The following is a 12703-nucleotide window of genomic DNA, read 5'->3' on the forward strand; positions in this document are numbered from 1 at the left end:
TTTTTATGGCTGAGAAGTATTTCATAGTCTATGCATCTACCTTTATACCAATAGCATACTCTTTTGATTACTATAGCCTTACAATATAATTTGAAGTCAGCTAATATAATGCCTCCAGATTTCTTATTTTTGCTTAGGATTGCTTTGGCTATTTGTGCTCTTTTTGGTTTCACATGAATTTTATGATTAATTTTTCTAATTCTGTGAAAATCGACATTGGTATTTTGATAGGAATTGCACTGAATCTGTAAATTGTTTTGGGAAGTATGGTCATTTTCATGATATTAATTCTTTCAGTCCATGAGCATGGGACATATTTCCATTTGCTTGTGTCATCCGTTATTTCTCTCAGCAGTATTTTATAGTTCTTTCACCTACTTGGTTAAGTATATTCTTAGGAATTTTATTTTCTTGTGGCTATTGTAAAAGGGATTGAGTTTTTGATTTGATTCTCAGCTGGGTCATTGTTGGTGTATAGCAGTGCTACTGATTTGTGTACGTTGATTTTGTAACTTGAGACTTTGCTAAATTCATTTATCAAATCTAGGAGTCATGTGGAGGAGTCACTAGGGTTTTTAGGTATAAGATCATATCATTGGCAGAGATAGTTTGACTCCCTCTTTTCCAATTTGGATGCCCTTTATTTCTTTGGCCTGATTGCTCTGGCTAGGACTTCCAGGAAGAAATGTTCAGATTTTGATTTGAGGCTGAAAACATGTAATGTTTTGCTGTACACATAAAATGCTCAAGAAGTGAGTTTGAATTTGGCATGCTACAAATTCCACTGGCCAGATTTCTGCAGCCCTCTTAAGGCCCTTGGCATCTTACATGCTCTACATTTTATAAGTTCAACTTTACAAAGTCCTGAGAATGTTCACTGGTGACATTATCTCTAATCAGTTTTGAGACCTGAAGCCCAGAGAAGCTGAGTCAGTGGCCCAAGAGGCACAGAGGGATTTAATGGACAGGTGGAGATTAGAAGGGATAATTCTAAGTGTTTAATCCTCTCTTCTGTTGTCTGAGGCTCCAGAGAGCTAAGGACAGCTTGGAGAAGGGCAGAGAAGCAGGGAGAGGCAGTGGAAGCCTCACTGCTATGCCATCTTCTAGGTGGGAATCCCCCAGTGAATAGGCAATGCAGGGGATGCTGCTGGAGTCCTGGGTTGCAGGTGGAGTGAAAGTAAATGTGTTCTTAGCCAAGAGACTCAAATGAGCGAGGAGACAGCAACCAATTCAGGAACAAGCATCACTGAAACAATCTGAACGTCGACCTTTCACATAAGAGTACCAGTCTCCAGGGAAGTGGCTACGCCGTCTGGGGTATATACCCTGGGGTTCACTGTCGCACGCTGAGAAAGAATTCAGGACACAGACACATGTGGGTGGGTTAAGGAGTGGAAAGTTTAATAGAAGAAAGGAGAGAGGAGAGCATCTCCTTGAGAGAGAGACAGAGAGACATCTGAAAAAGGGGGGAGGCAGTGAACCACAGCAGATTTTGTAGGCAGGCTGCAGAAGGTGGTGTCTGATTTACAGATTGGTTCGGTCAGGTATGGCATCTAGTCAGGAAGGCTTGTTGCCTCACCCTAATCTAATGCAAATGGGCTTTCCGGTTGATGGGGACATCTTGTCTGCTCCTTTACAGTACACGTGGCTGGGAGAGAAGGGACGGTGGAGCCCCCATTTTGAAAATGTCTGGTCCTCAGTTTCTGCCGGCATTCACCCGTGCAAGCTCCCAGCTTGCAGGCTGCTCTTTGTTAGAAAATGATTTGGGGCTGCTTTTCATTAAAAAGAAAAGCCTTACTGAGGACTCCCATTCCCTTGCTATCTGCCTAAGTAATTTCTTCTTAACTCCTATATCATCACCAGGAGGCCAAATCACAAGAGGATCTTTAATGGATGTGAACAATACGGGGCTTGGGACCTCTGACCATGCCCAGTCAAGACACGATAGACAGCATGCTCTTTGCTCTTGAGGAGTAATGATCAATTCTTACATATATACAGCACCTCAGTACTCACCAAGACCTTCTTCCACATCGTTCATTTATCCTCACCATTGCCCAGCCACAGAGGCATCACCACTCTCACTAAATGAGGAAGCAGAGTGAGAAAGGTTGAGTGATTTGAGGAAGAGAACACAAGTAGAGAGGTAGGTGTTGAACCCAGACTTTCTGGCTCATGGTTCCGTGGGCTGGACTTAGCACGGGGATGTGCTAAGCTTCAACGTGCTGGGCCGTGCAAGATGCTATTATATTCGTCTGACTTGAAACAGGAGAGGGCTGGGGCCTGTGGCTCACAAAATCATTCACTGAAATTATAATGTGGTATGTGCTGATCACCAGGGAAGCTCCTGAAAGCACTACTCCCCTAGATGGGTGCTTTAGTGACCTCAGTTTACCCAGGATGTCAGAGGCTCCCCATGGCTTTTTGCCATGAAAAACAGAGGCCACCTGCTGTGGTGTCGCTTTGTCTTTACAGCAGAGTGATGATGAGCAATGAGAGGTGAGCCCACAGTTCATATGCGGCCCTTCTGGCTTTGAGATGGGTTGTGCTCTAATTTCAGAATTTCAGTATGAAATCGGAAAGCTGCTTCCGTGTTGCTACTTCTCAAACAACACCAGATAGTAACATTGTAGTGGCCAGAAAGCAGTGCCAATTTTTTTATTGACATTTTTCTAAGTTGTAAGAAAAAAAATAGTTTAAAATGTGTACATATATTTTCAGAGAAATTCAGAGAATTTTCCAGCCTGGGAGTCACTTCTCTGGGAGAGAAATTCAGGATGGACCTTGGGGTTCAAGTTGGGTTACTGAATCTATTCTTCGGATGGTGAGATTGACAGAGAGGGGAGTTCTAGGCACAGCCTGTGTTTTGTTGTTGTTGTGGTTGTTGTTGTTGTTGTTTGTTTTTTTTGTGTGTGTGTTTTTTTAAGACAAAACTGGCCAGGGAAGGTGGCTTACACCTGTAATCCCAACACTCTGGGAAGCTGAGGCAGGAGAACCACTTGAGCCCAGGAGTTCGAGAGCAGACTGACCAACAGGATAAAACCTCATCTCTACAAAAAATACAAAAAAGCTAGCTGGGTGTGGTGGCACACACTTGTAGTCCCAGCTACTTGGGAGGCTGAGGTGGGAGGATCACCTGAGCCCAGGAGGTGGAGGCTATAGTGAGCTGTGATTACACCACTGCACTCCAGCGTGGGTGACAGATTGAGACCTTGTCTCAAATAAAACAACAAACCCTCTGGATCCCTTGATGTTAGCTTAATGGCATTTTTTGGGGGAAGTTACTCTGCGTGTGTGTGTGTGTGTGTGTGTGTGTGTGTGTGTGTAACAAAAGAACCATATGGCAAGAGCAAGCCTACCATGATGTGGAGCTACCATAGTTAAACTTGATTTTGAAGGAGAGACCAGTTTTCTCTTTTATTTCCATAGCCAGAGAGTGCAGTGGCAGACCAGCAGTGCAGGGGAAGCCCTGGCCCCTGAAGGCCTTTGTTTCAGGCCTGACCTCTGGGTCCTTAATGTTTTGTATGTGCCTGTGTCCAGGTCACCAGAGGTCAGTGGTTCTTCGACTGTAGCATGGTGTGCATCAGAATTACTTGGGGGCCTTGATGAAACAGGTGACTGGGCTCTACCAGGTAATTTCTGACTCAGTAGGTCTTGGAATGGGGGTCAGGAAATTGTATTTGGAAGAAGCTTGCAGGTGGTGGTGATGCTGCTGGCCAGGGGGCTGCTTGTGGAGAACCACTGACTTAGACTGTTAACCAGGGAACAAGAATGGCACCAGAGTGGTTGTATTACCTGTTTCAAGAAGGGCACTAGTTGACAGTGACAGCAACCAGAGCTGAAAATCAATCAACTCCTGGGCAGGTGGCACAGGTGTCTAGTTTCCTCTTTTAAAGGTCATAGGACTTAGGATGGAGAAAGGCTGCAGGACTGAGAGGTATTAGGTTGGTGCAAAAGTAATTGTACTTTTGGACTGTGAATTTTAAATCATTATAACTAGGCTCAAACACATCTTTATTAATCAAAATAGGAACCATTACAGTCAACACATTTTTGCCAAAGAGAAGTATGTTTGTTTATTCCTGTAGCATAAAAATCTATGCTTTGGGATTTGACCAACTCTTGGAAAGCATTTTCTGCATCCTGCTGGTTGTGGAAGCATTTTCCCTGCAAAAAGTTGTTGAGATGCTTGAAGAAGTGGTAGTTGGTTGGCGAGAGGTCAGGTGATATGGTGGATGAGGCAAAACTTTGTAGCCCAATTCATTCAAGTTTTGAAGCATTGGTTGTGTGATGTATGGTCAGGTGTTGTCATGGAAAAGAATTGGGCCCTCTCTGTTGACCAGTGCCTACTGTAGGCGTTGCAATTTTTGGTGCATCTCATTGATTTGCTGAGCATACTTCTCAGATGTGATGGTTTTGCCAGGATTCAGAAAGTTGTAGTGGATCAGACAGGCAGCAGACCACCAAACAGGGAGCATGACCTATTTTTCCTGCAAGTTTGGCTTTGGGAAGTGCTTTGGAGCCTCTTCTCAGTCCAACTACTGAGGTGGTCTTTGCCGGTTGTTGTGTTAAAGCCACTTTTTTTCACACGTCACAATCCAATCAAGAAATGGTTCGTGTCGTTGTGTAGCATAAGAGAAGATGACACTTCAAAACGCCAATTTTTTTATTTTTGCTTAACTTATGAGGCACCCACTTATCAAGCTTTTTCACCTTTCCAATTTGCTTCAAATGCCAAAGGACCATAGAATGGTCCACGTTGATTGCTTCAGCAACTTCTCGTGTAATTGTAAGAGGATCAGCTTCAATGATTACTCTCAATTGGTCCTTGTCAACTTCCAATGGCTGGCCACTAGCTCTTCATCTTCAAGGCTCTCGTCTCCTTTGCAAAACCTCTTGAACCACCACTCCACTGTACGTTTGTTAGCAGTTCCTAGACCAAATGTGTCGTTGATGGTCGTGAGTTGTCTCCATTGCTTTATGACCCATTTCAAACTCGAATAAGAAAATTGCTCGAATTTGCTTTTTGCCTAACATCATTTCCATAGACTAAAATAAATATAAAATAAACAGCAATTAATAAGTCATTAGCAAAAAAAAAACATAAAGTGAGAAATGCCCATTAAAATGACATATAACATAACCACACTTATTTAAGAATGTATCCCAATATCAAATAGCAGATTTCAACAATGCAAAACCCGCAATTATGTTTTCACCAACCTAATATCACACCCAGAAGGAGCCCAGAGAGGCAAGAAAAACCTTCTCTCAACAAGAAATGGGGCCCAACAGGCTGCAAAGAATGAGTCATTTCATTTGAATTTTAAAATAACTTTAACCTCATTGTGTTTCCTAGCCTGGTTGAATGGGACACATTGATTACAGAAATAATGTAACATATTTGTCAACATACGCAAGTTACAACACATCCCAAATTTTTATTTTCAGAGCGCTTGATTATTTTATTCACTTAACCTACAAGAAAAAATCAGACTATTTTAAGTTCTCTAGATTTGTACGCTGTTGAAGTAAACTGATATGAGAATTAGTGAACAGTGTTACCCTTTTCATGCAAAACAATTTTCTGGTTCTAGAATAAATATCCATGTTCCTATGTTTACTTTTATTTCATTTTTCAAAAGATACTTTGTTCCTTATTTCTTCCTGTTATTTAAATAGATCATGAATCATGATGAGTTCTTAAAAACTGGCAATTAATGCTTTAATGCTCTGTAAATTTTAAGGTATAAGTTAGTTAAGCTAGCCGTCTTTTGAGTTTCTCATTCTACAATTCAGTCTGTTATGTGAAAAAAAATTCTATTTTATTTCTCATCAGTTACAGAGCTAAGACTCACTGTTTGTTTTCAAACTTTTTTTAAAAAATCAATTTTAGATTTACCAAAGAATTGCAAAGATAGTTCAGAGAGTTCTGTATACCCATAACCAAGCTTCTCCTAATGTTAATAGTTTAATCTTCCTGAAAATTTCCTTGTGTGGCCATTTGTAGTCAATCCTCCCTCCCCCATCCACTGATCATTTTTTTTTTTTCCATATCTATAGCTCTGTCTTTTCCAGAATATCATATAAATGGAATCACACGATAGGCAGCCTTTTGAGTCTGGCTTCTTTGACTGAACAGAATGCATTCAAGGTTTGTTCACTTCATGTACTTGCTAGACAATTGTATATCAATTGTTCTTTTATTACTGAGTAAATGTACTAGAGTTTGTTTATCCATTAATGCATTGAATGATACCTGGGTTGTTTGCAGTTTTTGGTGATTATGAATAAACCTACTATAAACATTTGAGTGCAAGTGGTAGTATGGATATACATTTTTGATTCACTTTGGTAAACAAAGTAAATACCTAAGGGGGGCATTGCTGGGTTGTACGGCAAGAGTATGCTGAAAAAGTTAAACTGTCAAACTTCCAGTGTGGCTGTATAATTGTTCATTCTCCCAGCAATGAATGGGAGTTCCTGTAGCTCTGCATCCTCCTTAGTGCTCAGTATCATCAGTTTTCTTTATTTTAGTGATTCTAATATGTATGTAATAGTATCTCATGGTTTCAGATTGCTTTTTCCTAATACCTGTGATGTTGAGCACATATTCATGTGCCTATTTTGTCATCTGCATATCTTTGTAGAGCAACATATTTAATTTTAATAAAGTCTAATTTGTAATTTTTTCTTTACGAATCATGCTTTAGTGTCCTACCTAAACGCTCACTGCCAAAACAAAGGGCATACATTTTTTTTTGCCTGTGTTTTCCTATGAGAAGTTTTATTTTCTTACATTTTATATTTAGGTCTACAATCTATTTTGAGTTCATTTCTGTAAAGTTGTGAGGTATGTATCAAGGTTCACATTTTGCATATAGATCCCCACTGGTCCCAGTCCTATTTATTGAAAAACCTATCCTTTCTCCATTAAATTACCTTTGCAACTTGTCAAAAATCAATTGACCTGGCTTCTGGTTTTTGTCTGGAGATGTAGACAGCTTGAAAAAAAAGTCACTTCAATCCTACAAGAAGAAAAAGCTAGGAAAATGGAAAATTAACTTTTCTTAAAAACATGAGAGATGACAGAGCGGGCAACTAAATTGAATTCTGGAGAGATAAAGGGGCCTACGGAGTGAAATAGGACCCAAGCCTATGTGTGCCTGGGGCACACAACCATGGATGCCATATAAACAGATTAGGAGACTAAACTATGTTGTGGTCAGAATGTATCCCCTTAAAATTCATACATTAAAACTTCATGACCAATGTGATACTATTAGGAGGTGGCGCCGTTAGGAGGTCATTAGTGCCTTTAAGAAAAACCTCAAGGAAACTAGTAAGGCTCTCTTGCCCTCTGTTTCTTCTGCCATGTGAGGACACAGTGTTGTCTCCTCCAGAGGATTCAGCAACAGGGGTCATCTTGGAAGCAGAGATAGCCCTCACGAGACACCCAACCTGCAGGTACTTTGATCTTAGACTTCCAGCCTCCAGAACTGTGAGAGATACATTTCTGTTCTTTATAAATTACCCAGTCTCAGGTATTCTGTTATAGAAGGAGCAATGGATTAAGAATAACAGAAATTTTTAATAAACTGCTAAAACCTGAGTGTGGGCTAGAGGAAGAGGGTAAAGCCCTTGAGGGCAGCAGATATAGGCAGATACAGAAGGTTTTTACCCTGTGTAGGCCTTTTCTCCAGTAACTCACAGGGAGGATGGGGTAGGATTCAGGGAAAACTCCCTGTCGCCTTTCCAACTCTGGTGCTTGTTGTTAGGGGATGAAAACAGCAGCAGCCAATGTGAAATTCAGGCAGGCCCGTCTCCCATCTCTCCTATATAACAAAAAGTTTAGTCTGCAGGGAAAGGTTATCGAGGCTTGTAGCCAAGTCTGTGGTGGAATCTCATTGCAGCTTGAGTGGGGGCAGGATAGAGACAATCACCAAACCTCTGCCCAGACACATCTCTTTATTGCCCTTAAGCTAAAAAATAAAAGCCACATTCTGCAGGGGACAGGGTGTTAAAACCATAGCCTGAGGATGCTGGCAGATACCAACTGCAGCTGAGGAGTGGGGACAGGAGCAAAAGAGGTTCTACTTTTGGAGGAAGGACAGAAACTCTTGTGAAGGCCACCCCCCTGAAACTAGGTTCCCAGTAGCTGCTCAAGTCTGATGCTGAGTCAGAGGCTGTTCTCCTCCCCAACACGACATGACCAGCATGCTAACCAGCTCATGTAAAAATATAATAGGGAAGTTTGCATGGACAGCTGTAAGAGGCAAAGTATTTCTGGTGAGCAGTACAAAGCAAATACCCAAAGCCAATCAGAGAGACAAAAATAAAGTATCACTGGAAGGACTGGGAGTCTCTGGTGTCCATTATCAACAATAAACTCCAAGTCTGGTAACTATAGCAACAATGAACTTCAAACACAGCTCAGCTCCTGACTAGGTTAACACGAACCCTCATACTAGAGCCTAGTTTAAGCAAATGCACGCTCATCTCTCAAAAGTGCTTATCTCAGTATTTGCTGTCATATATAATATGTCTAGCTTCCAACAATTTATAAGCCTTATCAAATGGCAATAAAAATACACTGTGACAAGATAAACTATCATCAGAACGAAGCTCAGGTATGACACAGATAATAGGATTAATGGATGGGGAATTTAATAGAACTATAATTAATATGTTAAAGTCTCTGTTAAAAAGATAGACAATATACAAGATCAGACAGGTAATTTCAGTGGAGAGATGAAAGCTGTAAGAGAGCACTAATGACAGCACTAGAAATGGATGAAGAGAGAGTGATTAATGGGTACAAAAATACAGTTAGATAGAAGGAATACATTCTAGTATTTGATAGTACAGTAGGGACACTGCAGTTAATATATTATGCATTTCAAAGTAGCTAGAAGAGAAGAATTGTAATGTTCCCAACACAAAGGAAAGATAAATGTTTGAAGTGACGAATATCCCAATTATGCTAATTTGATCATTATGCATCGTATACATATATCAAAATATCATATGTACCCCCAAAATATGTACAACTGTGATATATCATTAAAAACCAAACACAATAACAGAAGTAAAGAATGCTTTCGACATGGCCAAAGCAAAGATCAGTCAACTTGAAGATAGGTCAATAGAAATTACCCTAACTAAAATGCCAAAAGGAAAAAGTTAGGAAATAACACAGTAACAACAACAAAAAAAGCATCGAAAAGTCGTGGGACAATTACAACTTTCTCACATGTGCCTATTGGGAATACCAGATGGAAAGTAAAAAAGAATGAGGCAGAATAAATATTTGAAGAAATAATGGCTGAGAGTTGTTCCAAGTTAGTGGCAGATACCAAACCACAGATCCAGGAATCTCAGAGAACACTAAATAGGATAATGCAAGAACAAAACCAAACAACACACATAGGCATATTTAAACTGCTGAAAACCAAAAACAAAATAAAAATCTTGAATGGAACCAGAGGAAAACGCACATTAATGTAGTCCCCCCTTTTCTGTGAGGGATACCTTCAAAGACCCTCAGTGGATCTCTGAACCTGTAGCTAGCACCAAACCCCATATATAGTATATGTATTATGATTTTTTCCTATGCATGCATTTCTACAGTAAAGCTTAATTTATAAATTATGCACAGTAAGAGGTTGATAACAATAACTAATAATAAAATAGAACAATTATAACAATATACTATAATAAAATTTATGTAAATGTGATTTCTTTCCCCAAATATATATATATTTTTTAGGTTGTCAAATTGTATTTTCTCAAGTAAGGATATGAAAAAACAAAACAAAATAACAAATAAATTCTAACATTTTATATCATCCCAATTTAATTTTTAAAAGGATGTGAGAAGAAGAAAGGAGGGGGGAGAGGAGGAGAAAAGGACGTGCATCATCTGAAAATGAAGGGTGTTCTTTAAAGCAGCAAAGTTAGCTCAACAAAACTTATTGTGCTTTATCATGGGGAACTGACATAGCAGAAAGTGGAACCAACGGTAAGGGGGGACTACTGTAACTATGGAGGAATAAGGACAAGAATTACAGCAGACGTCTCAACAGAAACCATGCAAGCCAGAGACAACGGAGTGAGATTTTTAAAGTGTTGAAAGAAAAAAACTGTCAAAACAGATTTCTACATCCAGGAGAAATATCTTTCAAATGTGAAAAACAAATAAATACTTTTGTGTACCAACATAAACTGAGGAAGTTCAGTAATATTTCCTACTTTACTGGAAATATTAAAGGTAGTTCTTCAAACAAAGAATTTGTTTGGAACTTAGATCTGCATACAGGACATAAATGAAGGGAAATATGCTTTATCATATTTCTCGCTGTAAAATATACTTTATCATATTTTCTTGCTATAACAAGTAACTTGACTGTTTAAAGTAATAATAACCATATATTATATGGTTATGGTGTATGTAAGAGTAAGATGAGTTACAATGATAGTGCAAAAGATGAGAAGAAAGAATTGGGAAACACTGTTGTAAGATCTTACATTACATGTGTGGCAACACTGTTATTTGAAGGTGGACTTAGATTATTTAAAATTGTATATTATAAAACCTAGGGCAATCACTACAAGTGTTAACAACACAAAATGTGTAAAAATCAATTGACTATATTTATGTAGGTCTAGTTCGGGGCTTTCTCTTCTATTTCATTGATCTATGTGTCTATCCTTTTGCTACTGTCTTTATTACTATATCTTTATAATAATCCCAGCACTTTGGGAGACCAAGGTGGGCAGATCATGAGGTCAAGAGATCGAGACCATCCTGGCCAACATGGTGAAACCCCATCCCTACTAAAAATACAAAAATTAGCTGGGCATGGTGGCACATGCCTGTAGTCCCAGCTATTCAGGAGGCTGAGGCAGGAGAATTGCTTGAACCCAGGAGGTGGAGGTTGCAGTGAGCCAAGATCACACCACTGCTCTCCAGCCTGGCAATAGAGTGAGACTTTGTCTCAAAAAAATAAAAATAAAAATAAAAAATAAAAAATAAAAAAATTTTAAATAAAAGGCTTGAAATTGGGTAGTGTAAATCCTTCCATTTTTTAAATCTCTTTCAGAATCATTTTGCTATTCTAGCATGTTTTGCTTTTTAGAATCAGTTTGTTGATATCTACCCAATGCTTGCTGGAATTTTGGTTAGGATTGTACTGGGGAGAATTGGTAAATTTGCCACATTGAACCTTTCAATCCGAGAATATGTTATATCTCTATACTTAATTAGATCTTCCATGATTTATTTGAGCAGTGTTTTGCAGTTTATAGTATATAATTCCTGAGCACGTTTTGTTAGAATTTAAGTATTTCAATGGGGCAGGAGATGCTATTATAAATGATACTGTCTTTAAATTTTGAAATCCAATTGTTGATTGCCACTATCTAGAAAAATGGTTGACTTTTGTAATTCTGCAACCTCAGTAATTTATTAATTCTAGGAGCATTTTGGTGGGTTTCTTTGGGAAGATAAATATGTCTTTTTGGATAACACAGCGCTATTTTTTTCTAATCTGTTCTCCATTTTTTACTCTTGCTTTATTGCAATGGATTTTGTTTAACAGGAGTGATAACAGAAGACATCCTTGTCTTATTTCTGATCTTAGTGTGAAATGATTTATCACTATCAAGTAAGAAAATATTTTTGGAAAAAGGTAAATCATTTTTATATAATACAATAATTGATATTAATTTTAAAGCAGTCTTGTAGGAGAAACCATACAATTTCCCCATATAAATATAGTATATAATAACCTAGGATCCAGTGAAAAAAATTGCAAGTTGTAAATATTCAACTTACAACTTTCTGTATTAATTAGAATTAATATTCTAATCCTGAAAAAAGTACAAAACAATGTCGTCATGAAGAAACATATGGAGTCAGGAAGGGGAACATCACATACCAGGGACTGCTGTGGGGTGGGGGGAGGGGGGAAGGGATAGCATTAGGAGATATACCTAATGCTAAATGATGAGTTAATGGGTGCAGCACACCAACTTGGCACATGTATACATATGTAATAAACCTGCATGTTGTGCACATGTACCCTAAAACTTAAAGTATAATAATAATAATAATAATAATAATAATAATAATAATAAAAAGAAACATATGGAGTCAGTGAAAATGGTTGCATAGCGGTCAATAAAAGTAATTATAACTCAGGGCACTTAGACCAGCACTCAACAGTGTTTTTGAGCTGACCGGGAAGGCTGCTCCCTTGAATAACTCAGGAATAACCTTCAAGGCTTTTCTGCCTATGTAGGAGCTTTTACCTTCCATTGGAGCCTGTGCCTTGTGAAGTATTTCTGGTGTTGGTGACCTCCTACCTGGGCGGTATACTGGGCCTCCAGGAAGGTAGGAAGAAGTAATGGAATCTGGTGCTCAAGAAAAGACTTGGAGCTATTTTTTACCAGAGTGGTCAAAGATGTGTTGGCATCTGGCATTAGCTTCCCATTGGTAAAAACACATTCGTATTCAAGTGTGAGTTGGAGGGTAGGTGGCTCTCTATGCAGATAAATAGAGGAGTAAAGAAAGAGGTAGCTATTATTTGAATTTTGTCCTTCTTTGGGGCAAAAATTCAGGTCATTTTGACTTCTTCCTTATTCTTTTTGGCATTTTTTGAATGATTACAACCGGGCTCTTTTCCTCCCTCCTTCCCTCCAT

At 38.9% G+C, this 12703-nt stretch overlaps 1 long non-coding RNA gene across 1 annotated transcript in view; it reads left to right on the forward strand.

Annotated features, from left to right (window-relative positions):
• The window catches only part of CRAT37 (cervical cancer-associated transcript 37), a 31512-nt gene extending 19985 nt beyond the window's left edge, over nt 1-11527 (forward strand). Inside the window, exons 3-4 of the long non-coding RNA NR_110106.1 lie at nt 6064-6154; nt 9870-11527. This is a non-coding gene — a long non-coding RNA (cervical cancer-associated transcript 37). The remainder of the gene's footprint in view (nt 1-6063; nt 6155-9869) is intronic.
• The last annotated feature ends 1176 nt before the right edge of the window (nt 11528-12703 follow it).

The sequence above is a fragment of the Homo sapiens genome, chromosome 15, assembly GCF_000001405.40.
Source record: "Homo sapiens chromosome 15, GRCh38.p14 Primary Assembly".
Lineage (NCBI taxonomy): Eukaryota > Metazoa > Chordata > Mammalia > Primates > Hominidae > Homo > Homo sapiens.